At 60.0% G+C, this 23392-nt stretch overlaps 2 protein-coding genes and 3 long non-coding RNA genes across 10 annotated transcripts in view, besides 7 other annotated features; 3 read left to right on the plus strand and 2 right to left on the minus strand.

Moving 5' to 3' along the window:
• Positions 1–203: 203 nt before the first annotated feature.
• HSF2BP (heat shock transcription factor 2 binding protein) overlaps positions 204–23392 on the minus strand; it is a 214517-nt gene continuing 191328 nt past the window's right edge. Inside the window, exons 10-11 of one of the 4 annotated variants that reach the window (XR_007067782.1) lie at positions 15928–16033; positions 204–12564 (exon numbers count right to left, since the gene is read on the minus strand). Coding sequence is in view for 1 of the 4 variants with exons in the window: in XM_017028269.2 (XP_016883758.1) it covers positions 16021–16033 (13 nt within the window). In the remaining 3 variants the exon portion in view is untranslated. Of the gene's footprint in view, positions 16034–23392 lie in introns of all 4 variants that reach the window. The other 3 variants (XR_007067781.1, XR_007067780.1, XM_017028269.2) reach the window with 3 other exon arrangements.
• Positions 765–1384: an enhancer, noted in NCBI's record as "H3K27ac-H3K4me1 hESC enhancer chr21:44865413-44866032 (GRCh37/hg19 assembly coordinates)". NCBI's record gives its function as "activates a minimal SCP1, AML or CMV promoter by ChIP-STARR-seq in naive H9 embryonic stem cells {active_cell/tissue: H9 hESC(naive)}" and the evidence as "EXISTENCE:reporter gene assay evidence [ECO:0000049][PMID:30033119]".
• Positions 1385–2004: an enhancer, noted in NCBI's record as "H3K27ac-H3K4me1 hESC enhancer chr21:44866033-44866652 (GRCh37/hg19 assembly coordinates)". NCBI's record gives its function as "activates a minimal SCP1, AML or CMV promoter by ChIP-STARR-seq in naive H9 embryonic stem cells {active_cell/tissue: H9 hESC(naive)}" and the evidence as "EXISTENCE:reporter gene assay evidence [ECO:0000049][PMID:30033119]".
• On the plus strand, positions 1833–9134 carry LINC00319 (long intergenic non-protein coding RNA 319). Its single transcript, NR_152722.1, has 5 exons — positions 1833–2131; positions 3999–4302; positions 5971–6153; positions 6405–7737; positions 8353–9134. It is a non-coding gene; the product is annotated as a long intergenic non-protein coding RNA 319 (long non-coding RNA).
• Positions 2625–3244: an enhancer, noted in NCBI's record as "H3K27ac hESC enhancer chr21:44867273-44867892 (GRCh37/hg19 assembly coordinates)". NCBI's record gives its function as "activates a minimal SCP1, AML or CMV promoter by ChIP-STARR-seq in primed H9 embryonic stem cells {active_cell/tissue: H9 hESC(primed)}" and the evidence as "EXISTENCE:reporter gene assay evidence [ECO:0000049][PMID:30033119]".
• Positions 5342–9134, plus strand: LOC124900467 (uncharacterized). 3 transcript variants are annotated; one of them, XM_047441059.1, is made up of 3 exons: positions 5342–6153; positions 6405–7737; positions 8353–9134. In XM_047441059.1, the coding sequence occupies exon 1, from the start codon at positions 5342–5344 to the stop codon at positions 5825–5827; it is 486 nt and encodes a 161-aa protein (XP_047297015.1). In that variant the 3' UTR covers positions 5828–6153; positions 6405–7737; positions 8353–9134. The 3 variants fall into 3 exon arrangements, with proteins under 3 accessions (XP_047297015.1, XP_047297016.1, XP_047297014.1); XM_047441060.1 differs by having other exon boundaries at positions 5342–6204; positions 6405–9118; XM_047441058.1 differs by having other exon boundaries at positions 6405–9118.
• Positions 9800–10775: an enhancer, noted in NCBI's record as "H3K4me1 hESC enhancer chr21:44874448-44875423 (GRCh37/hg19 assembly coordinates)". NCBI's record gives its function as "activates a minimal SCP1, AML or CMV promoter by ChIP-STARR-seq in primed H9 embryonic stem cells {active_cell/tissue: H9 hESC(primed)}" and the evidence as "EXISTENCE:reporter gene assay evidence [ECO:0000049][PMID:30033119]".
• Positions 10875–11874: an enhancer, noted in NCBI's record as "H3K27ac-H3K4me1 hESC enhancer chr21:44875523-44876522 (GRCh37/hg19 assembly coordinates)". NCBI's record gives its function as "activates a minimal SCP1, AML or CMV promoter by ChIP-STARR-seq in primed H9 embryonic stem cells {active_cell/tissue: H9 hESC(primed)}" and the evidence as "EXISTENCE:reporter gene assay evidence [ECO:0000049][PMID:30033119]".
• Positions 12174–12384: a silencer, noted in NCBI's record as "fragment chr21:44876822-44877032 (GRCh37/hg19 assembly coordinates)". NCBI's record gives its function as "represses an EF-1alpha promoter that drives an FKBP-Casp9 reporter gene in an ReSE screen in K562 erythroleukemia cells {active_cell/tissue: K562}" and the evidence as "EXISTENCE:reporter gene assay evidence [ECO:0000049][PMID:32094911]".
• Positions 17326–23392, minus strand: part of LINC00313 (long intergenic non-protein coding RNA 313) — a 16130-nt gene continuing 10063 nt past the window's right edge. The window contains exon 4 of the long non-coding RNA NR_026863.1: positions 17326–17493. This is a non-coding gene — a long non-coding RNA (long intergenic non-protein coding RNA 313). The remainder of the gene's footprint in view (positions 17494–23392) is intronic.
• Positions 17873–18870: an enhancer, noted in NCBI's record as "H3K27ac-H3K4me1 hESC enhancer chr21:44882521-44883518 (GRCh37/hg19 assembly coordinates)". NCBI's record gives its function as "activates a minimal SCP1, AML or CMV promoter by ChIP-STARR-seq in primed H9 embryonic stem cells {active_cell/tissue: H9 hESC(primed)}" and the evidence as "EXISTENCE:reporter gene assay evidence [ECO:0000049][PMID:30033119]".
• On the plus strand, positions 20318–22741 carry LOC102723380 (uncharacterized). Its single transcript, XR_430386.3, has 2 exons — positions 20318–20579; positions 22290–22741. It is a non-coding gene; the product is annotated as an uncharacterized LOC102723380 (long non-coding RNA).

Genomic DNA, 23392 nt, shown 5'->3' on the forward strand with positions numbered 1-23392 from the left:
TGTGCGTGACTGGGGTGTGAGCGTGCCCACTGTGGGTGTGCCCGTGTGTGTGGCTGTGAGGCGTGAGTGCAGGCGTGAAGTGTCTGGGAGTGGGAGCGGGCATGAGTGTGTGCCACGGGCCTGCTGTTGGGTCCTTGGAGGCCACGGTTGCCCCTGAAGGGACTGCAAGCTCTTTTTTGATTTGTAGTTATTTGAGAAGTCTATACAGGAAGAAAATTAAACCGCATTTACTAAATACAATAAAATTACAGGAAGACAGAATTGTCCCCAAATTACAAACATGTGGCCCGAGTTGCTCCACGACAGCTCAGCCCCAGACCATGCAGTGGAGATGGCAGCCCCGAGCCCCGGGCCCATCTCCTGCTCCCCACTGAGGTGACACAGGACCCCTGTAAGGCAGGACCCCAGAGCCCCGCACAGGAGGGGGGGCTGTGTGGGGGGAGGGACCCCTGCCTGCTGTCCCTGCCCAGCCTGCGGTCCCGCCCCCACCAGGCAGCGGACCCTGGACTGCTCATGATCACGGCCTCACCTGGAAAGCTGCTATGGGCTGGTCTGAGCCTCTTCCCTCTTTCCGGGAAATCTGAGGCCCACCAGCAGCGGGCAGCAGGTCATGGGTATGGTCGCGGACTTGGAGGCCCAGGAAGGCCACCAAGGAGCAGGAAGGGCCGTGTCCTGGGATCAGAGTCTAGGCCAGAGACCCTTCCCAAGGCTGTCACCCAGGAGGGAGATGATGGGAAGTGACAGTGGGGCCCAGGCTGGAAGTGAGAGGGGCCGGGCCTGTGGCGGAGTAAGAGCTGGCTTGGAGTGGGCAGAGGCCAAGGCAGCCGGGTGGGCACCAGACTTGGGAGATGCTCGGCCTCGCACCGAGAAAGGGGGGGCGCTGGGGCCAAGTGCCCACTGCCCGGAGAGCAGGGCTGGGTCCTCAAGGGCCCCCTGCTTTTGGATGTTGTGCAGCCACTGAAGCTGAAGCCCAGTCGCCCCGGCTCCACGGTCCAGACTCCCAGCAGGTGGCCACCCCTGACCACCTACTCTGAAATCCAGGCACATCCTGGCACCACCCGGCCAAGAGCCCACATGGCCCCGGGGCATTCATCTCACTGGGCAGGGGCAGCCTCCGACCTCATCCCAGCTCAGTAGGTGCTCGCGGTGCCCTCCTAAACGCCAGCCATGAGCTTGAGCGAACGCCAGTGTGTCGTGAGGCTGAGCACAGCCTGGCCCCTCCACTCCGGCTCCTGGTGGCTGTCTGCTGTGTCCCCTATCGGGGAAGAGGTTTCTCTTTGGCCCAAGCCCACCTGCCCCTGCCTGAGGGAGCCCTCAGCCACTACGCTCAGCCCGTCAGAAACCTGAGAGCTCATGTCCACGACAGGGCCAGCCAGTGGGGAGAGGACCCGGGGCTCCCTTGGAGGCAGGGCACTGCTCGTTCCCGCGGCCGCTCGGCCCCGCCCGCTCCCTCCACCCCGATTTCCCACAGGGCTTGCAGGCATCGCCCCAAACAGACTCTGTCACCCAAGCCATGTGCCTGGGCCTGCCTTTGGGTGTGGATGGGGGGTGCCTGGCGGGGGGTGCCTGGCGGGGAGTGCTCTGAGTGCAGGAGCGGACACCCAGGCTGCCCGAGGAGGGCAGGGCGTGAGGACTGGGACAGCCGCACCCCTGCTGCTTGGCACGACCCAGTGAAGGAATGACGTCCGCAAGGGCCACGTGAGCTTGGGGCGGGCGGTGCCGGTGGAGGGAGAGGCAGAGGCTGTCAGCCTCTCCCCACCCCTGCCTCACGTGGCCACGCCCGACGTCACCGTGTCTTTCTTTGTGAGAGCTGAGTCCACCGACCCCACCTTGTTTAGATTAGGTTGGAAGTCACCTGGGCTGAGCTGATGGCTGATTCCGTCAGCAAAAAGAACTGTGGAACATACTGGCACTTGGGCCGGTGTGAAGCCACCCCCCTGCCATGAAAAATGGCTCTTCCCTGCCACAGCCGGCCCAGCGGGAGCCAGGTCAGGGCCTGGAGACACAGCGCCCCCCACCGGAGCCACTGCCCGGCCCAGCAGCACCTGCGGAGAATCCCACCAGCTCCCACGCCTCCCGCCGCGCCACCGCCCCGGCTTTCTGCAAATCCACCTTATGGAAGCCGGATAAGGTGAAGTCCACATATAACTAAAAGCGAGTTACTGAGGGTTACTTTCTTTGCAGAGTGGTTCCCCTAAAGGATTCCTTTAAACATGATCCGGTCAGCCAGTGCTCACTTACGTTCACCAAGTCACGTCGGTTTGTGGCGGCAGGAGCCCAGCGTGCCAGGCACCTGCGGGAGGGGAAGATGCTGGGTGGGGCCCTGCTTTCGACACTTTGCATCTTAAGCAGGTGAGCAGACAGGCACACATTTGCTCACTCAGTTCCTTGGGGTAGCTCTGATGGGCAGGGAAAACACACCAAGGGCCAATCGTGTGGCACCGACTCGCCGTCTCTCTATTGTATTTTATAGAAACGGTCTCACATTCGCCCAGGCTGGAGTGCAGTGGTGCAAGCATAGCTCATTGTAGCCTTGAACTCCTGGGTTCAAGCCATCCTCCCACCTTAGCCTCCCAAAGCGCTGGGATTACAGGCATGAGCCAACACACCTGGCCGGCACCAACTCTCAGCCACGCTGTCGCAGACAGCGGGGCCCCTGCTTGCTGCTGGATGTCACCTCCCAGCCCTGAGAGGCTGGGGATGGGAGCCGGCAGCACTCCTTTGCACAGAGCACCGCAGGAAGCACTGGAATCCGGAAAGAGAGAGGGTGCCGTGAGCAGACTTCCCGGCAGGCGTCAACCTCCTGTGTGGTCAGGAGTGCAGGCGCTGGGGCCGGAACCCTGGGCACTCGACCACAACCGCCTGGGCAACGTGGCCAAGTGGGCGCGTGTCCTGGGGCTCTTGCAACAAGCCAGGTGGCCTCAACAACAGATACTGATTCCCTTACAGCTCTGGGGACCAGAAGCCCCAAATTAAGCTGTGGGCAGGGCTGCACTCCCTCCAGAGGCGCTAGAGGGGGATCTTCCTTGTCTCTGGCAGCTTCTGGTGGCCCAGGCGTTCCTTGGCTTGTGGCTGCCTCCCTCCAGTCCCTGCCTGGCCCTCCCACGGCCTCGGCCCCTCTCCATGTGGCTCTCCCTGGGTTTTCTCTTCTCTTCATGAAGGCGCTTGTCCTTCACACCAGGCGCTGTGGTCCAGCCTGACAGCCCAGGACGATCACGCTGCCAGGTCTTGACCTGATTATATCTGCAAAGACCCTTTTTTCAAATAAGGTCATCTTTACAGGTTCTGGGACACAGACAGATCTTTCTGTGGGGACACCATTCAACAAAGAGGGGAAGCCACAGCCAGACCCCCCTCCGCTCAAAGGCTTGCTGTTTCCTATGTTGCCCGCCACACTCCGTGTCTATAGAGCTGGGACAGTGGCAGTGCCCACCTCAGAGGTCACCGTGCAGATTAAATTCATCCCTAGACACGAAGTGCTGGGTGCAGGCACAGAGAACTGGAAGGAAAGGTTTCCTGTGACCGTGTGCTCCTTCTGCCCTCGGCTCGGGGTCTCTGCTGTGCTCGGCGTGGGTGGTGATGAGGATGTCACTGGGTGCACAGCTGGCCCCGCAAGCTGCCCGGACCCCAGGCCTCCCCTCTTTCCAGCCAGGATGTTGTGTGCTCACAGCCTCTCAGGGCCACAGGTGCAGTGACTGCTGCTGCTGTGTGCTTATTTGCTGCAGAGACTCCACTGGGGCCAGGCTGAGCAGGACTCCCCAGACATATCCAGAGGTCCTTCGAGAGGGCCGCATGGCAGGCACAGGGTTGAGGGGCCTGGTGGCATGGCCACGGCTCACCTGGGAGCGCAGGTGGGAAGCCCCCACACCTAGCAGAGTGCAGCTCCTTCCCGCACAGCCACCTGCGCTCCTTGGCCTGACCCCGTAGGGCTCTCAATAAGAAACGGGGGCTTCCCCTCCTCCAGTCTCACCCTCAGTCTCCACGTTGTCTCCACCTAGCACCTCCTCCTCTGATGCGTCACAGTCACAGGTCCTGGTGAGGAGGGAGCCACGCCAAGCACAGCGGCTGGAACAGGGGCAAGTGGGTGCCCACCCCGAAGTGCAGGCAATGAACTTGTGCTGTAGCCCATGGTGAGCTGTGGGGCTGTTTGTGACTGCAGCGTAGCCAAGCCCATCCCGCCTGATGCGGCCTCTTCATCCAGAGTGGGGGTGACGTGCCAGCCCCCACCTCACCGGAATGCTGGGAGGAGCGTCTCCACGGAAGGAGCTCACTTTGTCAGCTGTAATGTGCTGTGACTATCGTGTGAGTTCCCGGGTCACTGTAACAAGTCCCACAGCCTGGGGGCTTCAACAGAGAGAGCCTGAATGGCTCTCTCACCATTCAGGAGGTGGAATCCAGGGTCAGGGTGCGGCTCCGCTGGCTCCTGAGGCCTCTCTCCTTGGCTCTGTCTCCTGCTACTGTCCTCACAAGGCCATCCCTCTGTGTGGGTCTGTGTCCTCATCTCCTCTCCGTATAAGGACACCAGGCAGATTGGGCCAGGGCCACCCCACCAGCCTCATGTTACCTTAACCACCTCTGTGAGGACCCCATCTCCAAGTAAGGTCCCTTGCGGAGGCATTGGGGCTTAGGGCTGCAGCATACAGATCTGGGGGAGACACACGGCCCCTAACAGTATCAAGGGTGGGTGGGCCCTCATAGGATAGGACAGCCGCCCAGTGGGGAGACACGTGGCCCCTAACAGTATCGAGGGTGGGTGGACCCCCATAGGATAGGACAGCCGCCCAGGGGGGAGACACGTGGCTCATAACAGTATTGAGGGTGGGTAGAGCCCGATAGGATAGGACAGCCTCCGGGGGAGACACGCGGCCCATGACAGTCTCGAGGGTGGGTGGACCCCCACAGGACAGCCGCCGGACATTTCCTCCTCTGCTAGTCTGAAAATCACACTGTCTTAGGCAGACAGGGAAGAATCAACATTTCCATGCCAGGCAGAGGCCCCCGGAGCGCAAAGGACCAGAGGATCAAAGAGCAAACGTCACCCTCAGGGTCTAACGTGCAGGTGGCAGGACCCCGGCCCTTCCTGTGTATCTGATTGTGGGTTTTGTCTCTGCCACGTGCAGGGATGGGTGCAGACTCCGTCCAAGGTCTTGGCAGGAAGAGAAAACTGCCACTGCAGAGGGGCTGGCTGAGGGGCTGGGATGGGGTCCCCGGGGCGCGGAGCTGCACACCAGCCCCTCGCACCTAGGCAGAAGGTCCATTGCCCTCTGCCCCGCAGCCTGCCCGTTCCCAGGCCAGCGAGGGCGCTCCCAGGCCGGTCTGCAGCCAGAACACAGCCCGTTCCATGTGCTTGTCCTCGGGACACATTAGGAATGAACCCAGGCCTCAGTCCTGGCCTCCTCCTCAAGGCTGGGTGCTCAGACGTCCCCCTCAGCCCCTTTCTCTAGACCTTCCGGCTGAACAAACGAGAACATCTCACAGCCCTGCAACAGCCAGGAGCTGCTCGTGGAGCTCCACGCCCGGCTGGAGAGAGAGGAGGCACCCTGGGCAGCCCGCCAGCACCCAGGCTCTCACAGTGGAAGCCCACGTCTTCTTGGGCTCTATTTTGAAAGCTGTTCTTTCCACGACGGCTTTGACAAGAATCGATTTGAGTGAGCCGGCGTGTCAATACAGGCCAGCACAGGACTGGCCTCAGGGCCACATTGGGGAGGGTGGCGACCAGGCCCTGGCTGCAGCCCACGTGGGCAAAAGCATGGCCAGGCAGGAGGTGGGGCCTGTGAGCTTGGCTACAGCGACCGTGGGCGCTGGGCCCGGGGCTCCTCAGCCCTGAGGGGAGACCCAGGCCCAGGCAGGCTCCCAGGCGGGCTCCCGGGCTCCCAGCCTTCCGATCTTCTCCCTTTGAGACCTTGCCTTCTGCACAGTGACAGGAAAGAGCCCTGAGTCCCACTTTGCAGGGATGTATTGCATTTCCAGAAAGTTCCTTCCGGGTGCAGAGTGATACATGAACCCTGGGGACTCACTCCAACTTGGTATTGATTTTCTCCACGGAGGACCCAGCAGTCACGGCCCGTGTCTGCACAGCCCCTTGGATCCTGCGGAGGAATTCAGCCGGCCCCTCCCCCTGTGCCGAAAACCACGGAGGCAAAGCCAGGCCAGGTTCAGGTTCCACGCAAAGCGCCCTCCTGTAGCCAAGCCCAGCCCCATGAGGTCAGGAGGCCTGGGTGGGGTCCCAGGTGGGGAGGCCGCCTGTGTGGGGTCCCAGGTGGGGAGGCTGCCTGTGTGGGGGCTCCCGCCAGCGCCCCTCCCCGCTCATGGAGGCACAGGGACAGCCATGTGTGCCCGCAGGACGCCTGGCTCTGCCCACTCGCCCCCACAGCATGCTGAGGAGCTCGGGCTTTGCTTTCTAGGGTACAGTGAGAACACGGGAGAGGACTGAGAGACCGCTGGCTGCCGAGGGAGGAAGAGCAGGATTCGCACCCCCGTCATCGCTGGGCCCACACGCCGCCGACAGCTTCCGCGTGTGGCCATCTGTCTTTCAGAAACCCTCTGGCAGAGGGACCCAGCAGATGACACGGGGGCCGTTCACACTCTGAAACCTGCCTGGAGTCAAAACACTGCTGGCGAGCCTCCACCGCAAACCCAATCCAGATGGTCTTCCCTGGTGGCCCTCGGGGTGGCGGGCACCCTGCCCACTCCCTGCCAGCCCCTGCCCGCTGGACTCCAGGCCCGGCCGAGCCCCCGACCGGTCTCCTGACCCAGCATGCTGCTCTCCCCTGGGCCCGGCTTTCTCGCCCGCTGGGACTCCCAGGCCCCTCCAGCCCAGCCCCGAGAGCAGGAGCCCCAAGGGAGGCTTGGCGGCTGTGGAGGCGAGTGGGCCACGTGTAGCTGGGAGGCCGGCAGGACCAGGAGCCCCTCACAGCGCAGCACCCACAGCATCACGAGCCACTTCCACTCCTGGGTGGCCTGGGGGCCCCCACCCTGCTCTGAGCTGCCCCTTGTTGTGACCTGGGGTCCCCCGTGGTGGGCCCGCCCCTTGAGCCTGGGATCCAGCCTCAGCGAGGCTCCAGAAGTGTCGTCTCCGCCGGCCAGGCGTCAGCGCCTCCACCCAGGATCACACACTCCTATCTCTGCACTTCTGCCCTCCATCCTGCTCCACGCCGCCTCTGCTTGTTATTCCAGCACATTCCAGGGTGATGCCTGCTGAAGCCACGCAGCCAGTGCCTCCACCCTACCCCCCATCTGACCCACCGGCCCCTTCCGCACGCTGGAAGCCTGCCCGGCCTGAAGTGTCCTCACCTGTCGCCCTATCCTCCCCTCCACTCCAGCCCACCGGTGACTCAGCCCTCACAGCTCTCTCCTCCCCGAGGGAGCCGGTGACTTGGCTCTGATGGTGCCGGGACCCAGCCCCGGCATGTTCAGAATCCTTGTCCTTTAACCTGCGTCCACATGTAGTCGCCTCCACCTCCCTGCCTGAACCTCCAGGCCCTGCAGAGCAAACACTGCTGCCTGCAGGAGACCCCTGGGGCCTTCTCCGTCCCCTCATCCTCCTAAGGAGCCTCCCCTGCCACCGTGCCAGAATGTGCCGGAGGAACAGAGGCCCGAGCCTCCCGTGGCCCCAGCGAGGCTTCCTCTGGGGAAGACAGTGAGCCCAACGCCCTGGCTCTCGAGGGGTGGACGGAGTCCAGCTGGCATCGACCGGGTGCCCCTCTTCACCGGTGTCCACAGTCCTTGAGAGCAAAGGTGGTCCCAGCAGTGGAGCAGAGGGCAAGGGTGGGGCATGTAGAGTCTCCAGGGAGCCACTGTTGGTTAGAGAGGGAGCCCGAAGTGGGCTCCGGACCCCAGCAGGGACAGCGTCCCCTTCCAGCGGGGGCAGCCGATTGATCTGGGCACACGAGCAGGAGGAGCGGCGCCACCCAGGGCTGACCTCACGGCCCTGCTCACGTCTCGGGGCATTTTGGCAGACCCACCTAGACCTGGGGGACAGCCTGATTTCCTGCAGCCATGACCTACAAGGGTGGCAGCTCTCTCAGGCTTGAGTAACCAGGACACAGACCTGGGCCATTTAATGCGCAGGCAGCCCCAAGTCCCGGCAGGGCCAGAAGCAGAGACGGCGGCTGGGGATGAAAGTGCACGCTGGTCCCAGATGGGGCTGGGGGTGAAAGCTGCATGCTGATCCCTGGGCCCCCTCACTCTATGAGCTCCTGAAAGGAGGGAAGCCCCCACACCCTACTGAGTGGAGTGCTCCTTGGCCTGGGACCCCGTCCAGTGTCTGCTGCTGTGGGGGCGGGCTCTGGGCAGAGAGAGGCCAGACAGGCACCCAGGAAAGCTGGAACACATCCCTCCTGCTTCCCCCAGGGTTCCCAGAGGCGACCTCCCTCCTGCACAGGCATTTGTCATCCTTACCCTCTAGGACAGCTTTGCCATGTGCAGTGAACCCCTGGACAGTGTTGCGTGCCACTTTGCCGGATTTGGACTGTATACAGACCGAAGCATGTGGCATGAAGCCTTCTGCTGTCAGCAAGTTCCTTGTCCCTCGACAGTATGTGCCCAGGCTGCCCTTCAAGGTGGCAGTGATGGCAGTTGTCTCTTGCACGCTGCGTACAGTTCTGTCACTGACTCTTACACACAGCCCTGGAGACGGGAGAGTGCCGGGAGCATTCTATGCAAGTGTCCTGGCCTTTGCGGGCGTCTCCACAGCACAAACACGAGTCAGGGACCACCCCTCTTCTGCTTCCATGATTCCACCAACTGGGTGGGGCAGAGCAGTGCCAGGGCCGGAGGCACGCCCCAGGTGAGGGCAGGTGGCCATGCCAGTGAGTGCACTGCGTTCTCAGTTAATTCATCCGAAATATTTCTAAGTTTCTTGATTATTGCAGTTGCATCCCCAAGATAATGCCGCCCTCACCAAGTAGAAGGCACATGTGCTCTGATGGCCCCTCCCACACTGGGGTCAGGGCACAGCAACTTAGCGAGGCGACGTGGGGGCTCAGAGGACCTCGGACCAGGCTCGGCACATGGGGCTTCTCCAGCCAGCCAGGGGGAAGCACCCTGCAGACTGCTAACTTTTGCAAAATAGAGTAAAAAAGATCAGCTAGAAAAATAAAACAAAAAAGGAAAGATATACAAAATACAAGGCCATTTATATTGTTGCATTTAACAGTCATCAACTCACTCCGTCTGAGGGGCGTTGGCATCTGTGGACACACTCAGTGCCGAGGTTTGTCCCACTGCGGGCAGGCACAAGCGGCTTCCTGGGGGCTGGCCCTCGCCTGCTCTGCGTGGCTGTGCTGCATGGGACACTGAGGCACCCGTCGGCTGCTCACTGCCTGGCTGCATCTGTGAGGGAGGAAACGAGCTGGGTACCAGCTCAGCCTCTGAAGACCCCACGGGTGCCCTAAGCTGTGATGTCTGTCCCCAAAGTTCATTTTGGGTGGGAGTGCTGGGGGTGCAGGGACAGAGGGTTCCAGCTCACCCAGGGCCAGCCCTGACCAGACGGCAGGAACCAGGGTCTGCGGCTGGATGCAGACGGCAGGCAGATCATTCTGGGGAAATCCCTTTCTTAAACCACATACTGTCCTGGGCTGAGCAGGCCCCCCTAAAAACTCATGTCAACTCAGAACCTCAGAATGTGACCTTATTTGGAAATAGGGTCTTTGCTGATGTAATCAAGTTAGGGTGAGCTCACACTGGAGTATGGTGGGCCCTCATCCAATGACGGCATCCTTGTAAGAAGAGGGAAGTCAGCCCCACAGATGCAGGGAGGACAGCCACGTTTCAATGGAGGCAGAGACTGGAGCCACACAGCTGCACGCAGAGGGACGCCCGGGGTCACCAGGAGCTGGAAGAGGCAGGGAGGACCCTCTCCTCGGGCCTCCAGAGTGGGCAGGGGCCTGAGGATGCCCTGATCCCCAATTCCAGTCTCTAGAGCTGTGAGAGGCTCAGCATCTTAGCTCCCCAGCGTGTGGCCTCTGTCAGGGCAGCCTTGGGAGCTGAGCCTGGCCCCTAACTCTCAGGAGCTCTCCCACAGACGGGGTTCTGCATCTCCCGAGCACGTCCGAAGCCCCCTTTCCACAAGGGCCACTGCTCGCCAGGCTGACGGTGACCGCCACTTCCCTAGGGACCCACCTTCTGTTCCCAAAGGCCCTGCCTGACACCTGGCCACTCAGCCCCACCCCGCCTAGCCTGCACGCCCCACATGTCCACGGGGTCTTCTCTGAACGGGCCTGGCCTTTCGGTGGGGAGGCGAGGACTCCATTTGAGGGCTGGCCCCTGATTGCTCCAGCATTTCAGTGACATTGTGCCCCAGGCCGAGGGAAGACTCTGGAAAAACTTCCCACCAAACTCCTCTTCTGCAGAGTTGAGCTGACAGGAAGTCTGTAACTTTCCTGCAAAACGTTATTCTACCCCCGCCAGGTGAGCTGAGATGGCAAAGGCTGACGACAAGGGTCCCGGGAGTCCCCACAGCTATGGGGGAGGGTAACTGGCCCCCCCCCACCCTGTGGGGAATAGCAGCAAAGCTTCACACAACCCCCAGGGCCAGTGTCTGCTGCTGAGCGCAGGTCCCACCAGAGCCAGCACGAAAGCCATAGAAAGACAACCTGAAGTCACCAGTGTCCCTCGGCAGAAGGAACAACCCGTGGTGTCTCCCGCTCCCTCCCTGCACAGCCATGAAAAGAAAGGGCCTGTGTACTCTAACAGCAGGGAGAACACAGTCCCCAAGACCCCCACAGGCTGGGAAGTCAGAGATCACAGGAGAGGTCACCTCTGGGGGTCATGACTCGGGGGAGTCCCTGGGGGGGACCAGGGGTTCTCTGTGGTTCTGGCGTGCTCTTGGAGGGACTCACTGACACGCACGGCGGTTACACGGGCGCAGACACGCAAAGACCTGAGCACGAGATAAGATTTGTGTCTTTCGTGGTACGTCAGCTTTACCCCATTTTTAAAGACTTTCAAAAATGTTATTCTGGGCATATGCTTTGAACAGATTGTAACCCCACCCCAGAAGGAGGACCTTGGATGTGGAGCTGGCAAGCTGGAGCCGCCCAGGGCTGTCCGTCTCCCTGTGGCTTCTTCTCCAGGAGGCTCCCGGGAGCAAAGCCGAGTCGGCAAGGCCATCCGCCCGCTGAGCAGGTGTTGGCTGCCTGGGTGGCACTTCCTGTGCTGAGGCTCAGGGCTCTGAGCCCTCATGGCACATAAGGTCTTGAGGACAGTGACCACACAGCCCAATCGGCCGGGCAGGTGGACTTAGGAGGGAGAGCCGGAGGCTGCAGAGTGTGCTCCGAGGTACCCTCCGCCTGGGACTGTAAGAACAAAGAAGGCTCTGGGGTAAGGTGACAGGGACAACTCCAGCAGAGAAGCGGAGGGAGGGGTGGAGACAGCACGAGATGACCGGAGACCACATGTTGGGTAGTGCCGGCGGGGGGAACTATGGGAAAGGGATTGGGCCTGGCATGAAGACCCCCAGCCCAGCCCCGTGGGGGTCCTAGCAACCCCAGAAGTCCTGCTAAGACCCTGGCACAGACCCCACTTCCCTGAGACTCAGCTTCCCCATCTTTAAAGTGAAGCCTGGCGCCTGCCTGTGAGTGCGCTGAAAATCAGATGATGGCAGCCACAGAGGCGCTCAGCACAGCGCCCAGCGCAGGGCCGGGACCCAGAGTGGACTCTACCGTGGGGCTGCCTCAAAGAAATCTCAGCAAACACAGGAAGCCAGCCCACCCGTGCAGCCATGGGGCCAGGAAGCCCGCCCTTTACCAAGTCATTTGGGCATTTTTTCTCTGTGCTAACAGCCCAGATGGAGCCATAGCCTCAACCTCTGTGTTCTGATAACACCAAGCTGGGACGCCGGAGCCATGCAGGGGACAGTGCCCGGCCTGAGGCTGCAGCCTGGGTCTGGATGCCTTTCTAATTCAGGGCCTCCTCATGGCCTGGTTCCATAAATGGTCAAATGCAGCCTGACAGCGCAGCCTCCTATCAGCGCTGGGCTCCGTACCGCCACACAGCCCACATACCCCGTTCCCCAGGAGACGCCCGCAGGTGGGCAGCGTCACTCCCACCCGCCGAGCACACGCTGTCCCCGTCTCGTGTCCCGAGGAGCCGGAAGCAGCTGCTTCCTCCCAGCCTGAAAGCTGCACCTCGGGCTGCACTCGGCTCCCCGAACCCGCCCTCCGCTGCCCTGCAATTCGCCAAGGGAGCTACCCTTCCCATATAAAAATTTCACCTCCATTTCCTTGTAGAGAAGAAACATTTCTGACAGCAAGGAAGATTCTAATTTGAAAAGCAAGTGATTCATCTCCCGGTGCCAAACAGCAGACGCAGGCGTTACCAGTCTGGGTGGGGCGCCCGAGCTGGGGACCTGGGGTCCTCTGGGAGGGGCAAGAAGGCAGCGATGCTGGCCCCCGCCTCCATCTGCCCATCCCATCTGCTTCCACACACCGCCCTGCCGTAGCTGCTTGCAGCCCTTCTCTGTCAGTTTCTCCATCTTTTGGTTTGGTGATAAATGAGAGTTCCCATCGGGTGTGCCACCCTCTGTGTGACGGGGAGCAGAGAAGACCCTGCGTCCAAGTCCTCCTGGGGGAAGAGCGAAGATGCTGGGACCAGCCCCAGCTGTCAGGGGGTCTCCAATCCCAGCAGGGAGGCCCCACGCATGGCTAGGATGCCCCAGACCCCAGGAACTGAAGGAAGTGGAAAGGAGGGCCCGCAGTCCTAACTAAGGGTTCAGACACCCCCCCAGTGCACATCCAGGCACGCCCCCACCCCCTAGGCCTGGTTCTAGGTCTGCTAGCTCCGAGAAGGCCCCTAACAATGACGCAGTCAGAGGGGCTGCGCTGGGCTCACGCTCAGTCCCACTGCCCCAGGGGTAGATCCGGCCCCTGGCCCACGCGCTGTGGAGCCTTGGAGTGTCTGTGCGCCCCTTCCTTGGAGGGCAGCCGCTGAGGGGCTGCTGCGGGACCGGGGAGCCTCCTGGCAGCAAGCACTCCCAATGCGTTGCTGGGACGCTGTGATGGAGACAAGATCCTGGCTTTGAAGAAAGCCCTTTCCACCCTGTCCATGTGGGGGTCTCCCGGTGCCCCTGAGCCAGCGGCCCCCTCCTGCAGGCTCCGGAGGACTCCCCTGCCTGCATCTGGTCTCGCATTTCCTCCGTGACCTCCAAGCTCCCACTGGGGGCACACGGCTGCCCCGCTGACCCCAACTCTGACCCTGTGCCGGTGGTGGGCAGCATCTGGCATGGGGGAGGTACCATTTCTTCCACACTCGCGCGTCCTCAGCCCAGATCATCCGGTGAAGTTTCCCCAGCAAGTGGCTCCCCCTGCCCCCTCCACCCTGCCAAGTGTGGTCCCTGGGCCCCCGACTTCCCTTCTCAGCCTCTGCCCCTGGGTCTGGGGCATGCATCCAGCCATCCACGCTCAGGGAGGCCACCTCCTCCCTCGCTCTCAACCACCACAAAGCTGCCCGGGACCTTGTTCTATCCTTTCCAAAAGTCCTCAGGACCTGCCTATCTACGGAGCTCCCAAAACGCCCTGTGAGCTCTCCTGGGCCCCTCCTCTCCTTGCTAATAATGTCCCACATGGTGCTGCCTGCCTGGCCCCAAAAGAAAAGGACCCTGGAGTGAGTTCTGAACACAAACTCGATGAAAGTGGCCCCCTGCTCCACCTGCCGAGTCAGCCCCTCCTCAGACTCTCCCCTTGGGCAGGGAAACCTGCCGAGGCCTGACTGTTTCTTCCTGAAACAGCCTCAGGCTGGAAGGAGAGGGATCCACCCTTGGCCATTGAAGCATTCAGCAGGAATCAGCCCTCAGGGACCGAGACCCTGCGACCAGCCCCGCCCCACAGGTGCCGGTCCTGGGCAGCCTCCCTTGCTTAGGCCACACTGCTCCCAAGAAGCCAGGATGAGCAGCTCGCAATAGGCCCCCAACACGCAGAGTGCCATGCAGAGGACGGGGGCACCCCAGAAAACTGCAGACACTGCATGTCCTCTGGGAGCCCCGGCCCTGGGAGACGATGTGCAGTGGCTCCAGCTCTGACCTCATGAGCCCAAGCTCCGCTACACACTGGGTCCTGACCTGACCTGGGTCCCGGCGGCTCTCCGGCCAGGCCTCTCCCGGTGCCTCCCGCCCCTGAGGCCGGCACCCAGCATCCAGGCCCCTGTATAGTCATCCCCTCTTCAGGAATCTGGGTCATGGCTGCAGGATAGGGGCTACCCAGAGCAGGATGTGGAGGGAGGGGCCGCAAAAGCCGGAGAGAATCCACAAGGCACTATTTAGCCACCTGCCCTTGATTCTAATTCTCAGTGACGAGATTCTTTGCTTGGCCAAACTCTATCAGGCCCTTGAGCCTTCTAGGCCACCTGCACACTTCCTTGCAAAATCCGGTTTTAGCAAGAACACTGCTAAGTGACTTCAGCCAGAACTGCCCCGCCCCGTATCTGATCATCCTCGTCAGGGCAGCATGCTCGTCCTCCGGCACCCAGGTGATGACGGATGACCCCGCCTCCCTTCAGCCAGAACCCTCCCACCCCTGCTGTTTGTTCTTAGTGATGTTCCATCCGAGGACCCCACTCTGCTCCTGGGCTATCAAATCCCACTCGCTGGAGCCATATTCAGAGTGGAGCCTAAATCTCTCTCCACCACTGCAAAATCCCACTGCCCTGGTCCCAGCACCCACCGCACTGGTCCTGAGTAGTCCCCTTCCGGTCTTTAGCAAAGATCATTGAATAAATTTCCTTTCATGTCAGGCACACCCTTAAATGCAGACGTGTGTCCTGGGAGGATTACCAACACTCCCCCGGCCCTGCACATCAGCTGTGGAAGGTGAGATTGGGAAGTGCTGGCCTCCTTGCCAAGGCTTCAGCCTCCATTTCTGCTTTTCAGGTCATGTTCGAACACTGGGGGTCCCAGGAGACCCACCCAGACCAGGCCCCTCTCAGGGTGGGAAGAGCGTGGAGCAAGAGGAGGAGGCTCGGCCCAGGACGTTGGCCACAGGCTGACCCGTGCAGGGGGCAAGGGCTTAAGACGGCCCCATCTTCCACTCCAAGTGTGGTCTCAATCTTGTTGGCCAGTTTATGAAAGTCAAGCCTACTGACTCAGTCAGGGTCTTGGCAGGAAGGAGGCCAGGGCGCAGACAGAGATAGGGATCGCTCCAGGGGTGTGTGGCCCTGGGCTGTGGGGCAGTCCTGGAGCACCTCCACCCCAGCCTGCAGAACACCCAGGCGGAGCAGGAGCAGAGCTGGGCTGTGTAGGGGTTAGGGGACACGGCCAGCCCGCAACCCCAGCTCCCCTCCATCTGCCTCCAGTTTCCAGCCAGGGCCCCCTCTGCCAAACCTGGCCCGAGGCAGGGGCCAGGGCTCTGTCTACTGGGGCCACAGGGAGGGTGGGGAGGGGGCCGGAGCTCCCAGGGCAAGGGGAGGGGCCACCCCCACCCCGTCACGCGCATGGAGGAGGAGGAGGAGCCCACACTGCCCCAGCGTCCACCCCACGCCTACACCAGCCCCACATGAGCTCGGGGGTCTCTGGGGGTCAGTGTCTGCAGCTACAGATGTGAGCACGCATGCGGGTGTGCAGGACCTTTGACCGCAGCCTCCCATGCACCCCTGGAAAGGTGCCTTGCCTCTCTCCCTCACTCGCCATGTGCAGGGCAGTGGGCGAGTCCCAGCCAGCATGGGCATCCCGCATTTCTCTGCTTCTGCAGCCCTGACTGACCATGGCCCCCCAAGTGGGCTCCAGCCCTCCAGGCACCTCCCCGTGCCGTGGTGCCCACCACAGGGCCTGGTCTCAGGGCTCCTCCAGGACTGGCCAAGTCCCCAGGCTCCTCCCCCACCCATGGGGGGAGAGGTGCACAGCACTGACGGGCCCCTGGGCCACTCATCTGAACTCTTGAGTCCTCCTAGAGCGGTGATCCCAGCCGGGCAGTTAGCTTGAGCGAGCCGAGTACTTACAGGATGTCACCAAACACAAGGTCCCAGCCCACATTCCATGACCTCAGCACTGCTCACGACGTCCTCCTGAGTCCATGAACTTCTTGACGGTTCTCATGGCCTCCTCCTGTGGACAGGGCAGGGCCGGCAGGTGAGGCACCTGCACGCACACCTAGCTCGACTCCCCAGGCCCACCCTGCAGACCCTCGGCCCTCTCCCTTCTTCCCACCCACCACTCTGGAGACGGGGCCTCCGGTCCTGGCCGCCCCTGTGGAAGAATGAGGGTGAGCGAGGGGCTGGGTCAGCAGCACGGCAGTGGGGGAGCCACCCAGCCTCCTGGAGGAAGCGGCCGGGCAGCGCTGGCACCGTTCCACATCCCTGCTGGAGCAATGGGGCCAGCGTGGCCGCCCCACCCAGTCAGTGGTCCCCACCTGGCTGAGAGTCCCCAGGAGGCAGCACCCTCTTCCTGGGAAGTCAGGCAGGGTTCTATGCAGGAGCCGACACTCACAGGGCTACCACAGGCCTGTGCGGACCCCAAGAGCCAGGAAGCCGCCTGCCGATGGTCCCTCTTAGGGACTGGATCGCGGGCAGCTCAGACGGCACAGAGTGCTTCCGGGTCGCAGTGTCCTCATGTTGCGGAGGCCTGAGCTCCCTGGAGGAAAAGCAACACCTTCCAAGCCATGCGGCGGAACGCTGGTGAGGCTCAAAGCCCTGGAGGTGACAGCCCCCAGACAGAGGCGTGGACCGTGTTTCCCTGTCGGCCCCTCCTCCAACCCCTCCACCAACCGCTCCGCCAGTGGCAGGTTTCCCACCTGTCTCCCAGCCCCCTGGAACTCTCCCCGGGCCTGCCTCTGGCTGTTTGCTGGGCCCCCCGTGGGAGCAGCACAGCGGCTGAGTGCCTGGGCGTGGCCCTACTGCCTGTGGGTTTCCAACGGGAATTTAGAGTCTGAAGGCTGAGGACCCTAGGGGACCACCCATTAGGGCTGAGGGCTCTGGAAAGAAGTTCAGGACAAAGGAGTTTGGGGAGAGCGCTGGGCTCATTTTCCTGGGGCAGACAGAACCAAGTGCCCATCACGGTGCAGCTTGAACAGCAGGCGTTCGGCGCCTCTCAGTTCCGGAGGCCGGGGGTCCAAGGTCATGGTGTGGGCAGTGTGAGCCACCACACCCAGCCCAAGTCCTTTATACATCTTCTCAGGGGGTCTGTGTCTTAAACAGGAAATATTCAAACGCCCTTTCTCTAACTGAAGTAGGTTTTCAGATTACTTTTACGTTTATAAGATATTGTGGCTACTGACGGTTTATTTTTTGCAATTATAACCGGCCCACTTTCCCGGGGTCTCCCTACACGTGCGGGGCGGGGGAGAGACTCCAGAGGGGGCTGCGGGAAACACAGGGGAGGGAGGCCTGGGGCTGGAGACGGCGGCCGCTCCTCATGCGTCAGGGGCCTCTTTCGGGCCGCCATTGCCTTAGCAGCGCCAAGTTCTTTCTGGGGCAATCGCCGCTGTTGGTTTCATCTCCCAGCACTGCCCATTGGCCGCAGCACCTCCTGCCCCCACGGTGCACTCCCTTCTGCGGTCATTTCCTTCCCTGGGGTGGAAGCAAGTGTAGAGCCAGCTCTTAGAGAGAGGCAGGCCAGCCATCTGCAGAGTGGGAACCCTCCTGGGCCCCCTTGCCCTCCCCACGTCCGAACCTGTCCCGTCCCCCATGGGCCCGCGCCCCCGCCAGCAACGGCATCCCACACTGTGCGCCTGGCCGTCTCACACACCCCACACTCTGGGCTGACCTTCAAAGGGAAGCTGCTGTTTAAATATTTAATCGTCCTTGGAGTGCCTGGACTTAATCATTAAGACCCTGAATCAAAAGAGGAAAAAAAGCATTTTAAAGATGACTGAAGGCCGGGTGCAGTGGCTCACGCCTGTAATCCCAGAACTTTGGGAGGTCAAGGTGGGCAGATCACAAGGTCAGGAGTTCGAGACCAGCCTGGCCAACATGGTGAAACCCCGTCTCTACTAAAAATATTAAAATTAGCCTGGCATGGTTGTGGATGCCTGTAATCCCAGCTACTTGGGAGGGTGAGGCAGGAGAATCACTTGAACCCCGGAGGCAGAGGTTACAGTGAGCCGAGATCACACCACTGAACTCCAGCCCGGCCAACAGAGCAAGACTCTGTCTCAAAAAAAAAAAAAGCAAAAAAAACAAAAACTAAAAAACTAAAAAAAAAAGATGGCTGAAGCCTGTGAAAACACTGGGTTAGTGATGCTTGTATTCTCAGCCCTGCAGGGCTGCGGCACCTCCACCTCCGGCTTGGCCTCACACTGCTCCCGGGGTGTTCCCTTTGCTCTGGAGGCAGGGCTGTGCACCAGCCAGGCCTGAGACCCTGTCTGCCCTCCAGGACCTGCTGACCCTGCTAGATCTTCGGTCCTGCCTTGCCCAGCGGCCGACTGAACAGAGCCCCTGTGGGCCCTGCATGGCCACCAGGGGGCTACTCCACGGTGGGGTCAGGGGGCGAGCGTCCCCCTCCCCGTCTCGGGGAGGGACGCAGCTCCTGGCCTGCATGCGCCCACCATGGACGGGGAAGGAAGGGGCGCCCCCTTCAGTGTGTGAACCCCCAGCAATCCCCTCTGCGGGGACCGCATGTTTTCTATACAGAAAGAACTTAGCTCACCAGGGACATTTTGCTGAAACAGCTTGTAAAGGATGGCGCCTGGCTGGTGCCTCTGCCTGCTATGGGGTGCGGGAGGCAATGTGGGAAGCTCCGTACTCTCTGATCGATGTATCGGTAAAATGAAAACTGCTCTAAAAAGTAGTCTTTTAACTTAAAAGAAAAAAGGAGAATAATTAGGCCAAGGGCTTGGCCATTTTCTGAACAAGTCTAGTTTTGTGGGTTTCCAGCTGCCTCTCTGAGTCTCCTTCTGGGCCCCTGCAGACACAGCCCCCTCCTGGGGTAGGGGCGACCTGCCCTGAGCAGTCTGTGCCCCGGGCTCCCAGAGCTGCCAGTGTGTCCAGGCTCTCCCCAGCTATCCGACTCCTGGGGAGCCTGCCAGGCCGGCAGTGGGTGGGTATTTGCTTGCATTTGCTTTGACAAATCGCCACTCTGTGTGGAGGTGCCAGGAGCGTGATTTACTGGGTGTGTGATGACTACGGCTCCCGTAGCCAGGCCTGCCCATCAAGCAGTGCTTTTGGCTTTCAGTGAGGGGTGGACTTTGCCGCGGGGGATTGCCGGCTAGCTGATCAGGACCCCAAGTCCTAAGAGGCACCGTGTCCACTCCACCTGCCCACGGGAGCTCCGTGCCCAGCGGTGGGCCCAGAGGGACGACGACCTCCTGTAGAGGGGGCCCCCACCAGTCCTAGCAGCCAAAGGTGCTCGAAGAGTGAAAGGACATGCCACACTGTCCTCCTAACAGCAGTGACCAGGGCAGGAGAGCTGCTATTTCTGGCCTACGGCCCATTTTTCAGAGTCAATTCATTTTCTAGGCAGACACACACATTCCTACAACTCTTTTCTCCAGATCATTCCTTCAGCCAGCTGGTTCTCCACCGGGATTCCAGGAAAGAATGAGGCCTTGCAAAATGCTCTGAATGGCTGTTCCCACCAAAGGTGGTGGGAGCCAAGCCCTTTCCAGGTACAGAGGGAAAGAAGGTGGTTTCGTGGGGTCTTGGCGTCAGCTCCACTCCCTCCCAGATCACTAGTGCGAAGGGACATGCCAGGCCTCTCCTCTAGGACAAAAACTAGTGTTTCTCTTGGATTCACTGAAACAAGCTGGGCTGCCCCTTCTTACAGATGGGGCTTGGGGCCCGTGGAGGGGAAGGGCCTGCGAGGTCCTGTTGGTGATAACCAGGCCAGCCGAGAGCCCGGGAAAGGGCCTGTCCTCAGTCTGTGCCTTGGTGTCCTCCCACCCAGCCACAAAGGGACTCACTCAAGGTCACAGGGCTGCAGCGGGCTGCGTTCAACCCAGTGGCCCCCACACACTCCTTCAAGGACCAGCATCCCATGCCCAGCTTCTGCCACTTCCTCTCTGGGCCTGTGCCCAGCAGCAGGACAACCCTTGCCACAGGCAGAGCAGCCCCGCACTCTAGTCCATTGAAAAGCCTGGTGAGATGCCAGGCCAGGCCATGAGCGCGGAGCCTGGTGGCGCGTGTCAGGAGGCGGCGGTGGCAACCTTGACGGTGGTGGTCCTGACTCAGGAGTCTGACTCACAAGGACTCCAGAGGAAGCAACTGACAAAACGTGTCTCCCGACGGGAGGGTGGCCCAGCTGTGAGGGCGTCTCCACCACCTCACCATCATCGTCAGAGCCACAGGATTTGGGGGACAGAGGAACATGGTAGACGACACTACAGAGACAGCCAGCAGAACCCAGAGTGTCGGAAATTCTACAGGACAAACAAAGGACCAGGTTTCTTCAACAGATAAACGATGAGTGATGTGTGTGTGTTGGGGGGGGGTGGGGGGGACGGAAGCTCTGGGCATTCCGGAGGGACTTCAGAGTCACAGAGAGCCTTGGACTTCGTACTCAAACAAACCAACTCTGAAAAGACAGGAGACAACCAGGGAAATTTCAACACTGCTAGCAGATTATCACAAAGAATTCAAGGGTCGTGTTTTAGGTGTGATAACGGTAGCACAGTTATTTTTTTTGGAAGAGTCCCTATTCTGTACAGCCACGCACTGAGGTATTTCTCTGATGAAATAAGGTCAGGGATTGCTTTAAAAGACTCCAGGGAGAGGAGGGGTAAGGGGCAGTGGATCGGGGGAGGGAAGAAGGCTTATAGGTCAGATGGGGCTGCCATGATACTGCTCCCTCTCAAGTTCTTGATGTTTAGAAAAAATGTATGATAAAAAGTTAAAGGTATATGGCCAAAAATTAACAATAATCACAAAAACAAGCCTGTCCTTACAGTGAGGCCAAACTCTTTCCTGTCTTCTAACTCTAGCCCAGGGGTCAAAAACAAAGGGAGGACCACAGGCCCCAGGGAGGCGCAGGAGGAAAATATTAATACTGTCCTTTCAAAATCTCATCTTTTAAAAGTATTTAAAATGCCCATATTCTATAATCTATGTAATATTTTACTATTAGCTAGTCCATTTGACAAGTGTTAAAAAATCAATGTATCAGGCTAGGCGTAATGGCTCACACCTATAATCCCAGCACTTTGGGAGGCTGAGGCGGGCGGATCACCTGAGGTCAGGAGTTTGAGACCAGCCTGGTCAACATGGTGAAACCCCCGTCTTTACTAAAAATACACCAATTAGCTGGGCAAGGTGGTGTGTGCCTGTAACTCCAGCTACTCAGGAGGGAGGCAGGAGAATCACTTGAACCCAGGAGGCAGAGGTTGCAGTGAGCCAAGATCGCGCCACTGCACTCCAGCCTGCGTGACAGAGTGAGACTCCGCCTCAAAAAAAAAAAAAAAAAAAATCAATGTGTGTACATGTATCGGGAGTGTGCACTCAAACTTTTGATTGTTAAAGGAGGGTTTTCACAAAAGCTGGGAGACCACCCTTCTAGAACCCTGCCCTTGTAGGTCCAAGGCTACGCGCCCTGGCAGACTTCCATGAGCTGCGACTACCAGCCACCAAGACGGTGTGCCCAGCCAACCCTGGTCCCCAGCTAGCTCTGACCCCTGCCCTGCCAGCATCACCCTGAGATTCTTCTGCAAATTACAGTCTTCTCAGACTGTCTGTCGACCCTGGGGTCTCAATGCTGGGTTCTCAACAGGCAGAACCACAGGGCTGCATTGCGGGTTGTCTTTGAAAAATGACCTGCCAATAGAAAGTTGGGGACGAAAGCCCTCCAACAGTCTGTCCAAGCGACCCCCAAGAGAAACCACAGTGGGGTGCTGGAGGGTCCCCAACGAGGCACCCCCCCCCCTCCGACCACCCTGCTGTTACTTCCACCCACATCGAAGTCCTAGGGTCTCTTCTAATTTCCTACTTGGCCGTGCCTGAAATGCCACTTCCAAAACCCGCATTCCTATGGTTGCAGAGGCCACAAGGGAGGGCCCTCGTGGTATTTTTTCAGGACCCAAAACCACGAAGATGCCAAGAATCACAACTTTCACACAAAGGACACACTTTCTTTGATGGAATCTTCAGATCACACATCACAAAGGCAGCACGCCATCAGTCTTTGAAATGTCCCAAAACACGTAAAGAATGTTCCGCTGCAGATCCGGCTTGTTTCACGGGTGTGTGGCCTCCTCTTCCGAAGTCATTTCATTCTTCGGGGTCTTTGACACGCTCTGGCAACAAGCGCGGAGAGGTGAACGGGGCAGCGTTTGTGCTGAGAGTGGGCTGAGAGCGCCGCCCTGCCCACTCCGGCCTGGGGCATCCCATCTCTGCCAGGTTCTGGGCTTTGCATTTTCTTTTCATTTCATTCTTCCCAGGCAAGAGCACAAGGAAACAAGCAGAAGGAATTCAGAGAAACAGCTCCAGGCTCCAGCTCAAAGGCCGACACCAAAAGCGAACACCTCTGGGCGCTCTTGCCTTCAAGAAGGTGGGGAGGCTCACAGACGCAGCATCCACCCCTCGCAGGGAACCTCAGTTCCTGGCCTGTGGTCCCATGAAGGACATCAGGCTGGCAGATTGGAGCACACCCCTTCTTTCTAACCCCTCTTGAAAGCTTCCTTGAATCTGCCAGTCCTGCCCCCTGGAGCAGGAAGGAAAACAGAAGGCCTAGGACGCTAGAGGGGTCCCGAGCTTTCCGGAGCTCCAGCCACCATCAGGTCTGACTGCTCAGGGACAGACACACCGACCACATCCTGACCTCAGGATGACCTGCGGAAGTACTTGGCATTTCTTCTTAGCCAAATCCCTTCATTAAAAGACGGGTGAGGGTTCCAGCGCTGCCCTCTTCCTTCTCAAAACTCTTATTTCAGGGCTGAAGCCCAGACGTCCAGCCCGTCAGAAATCCCCTTAGCCTGAGCTTGGCACCCAGAAGCTAGAGAGTAAATGCACAGGGGCCGGGGTCTGAGCCCTTCCGCAAGGATGGGGATGGGGGCCACAATCCACACACACCACACCACAAACCACACACCACACACCCACACACCACACACACCACACCACAAACCACACACCACACACCCACACACCACACACACCACACCACAAACCACACACCACACATTACACAGCACACCACACACACACACCACACACACCACACACCACATACACACCACACACCACACACACACCAAACACACCACACACACCACACACCACACACACGCACCACACACCACACACACCACACACCACACACACACACCACACACACCACACTTACACCACACACACACCACACACACCACACCCACACACACCACACACACCACAAACCATACACACAGCACACACCACACCACACACAACCATACCACACACACCATACCACAAACCACACACAACACACCACATACCACACACCACAAACCACACACACCACAAACCACACACACCACACACACCACCCACACCACACACC

This window comes from Homo sapiens, chromosome 21, assembly GCF_000001405.40.
Source record: "Homo sapiens chromosome 21, GRCh38.p14 Primary Assembly".
In the NCBI taxonomy this organism is placed as follows: domain Eukaryota; kingdom Metazoa; phylum Chordata; class Mammalia; order Primates; family Hominidae; genus Homo; species Homo sapiens.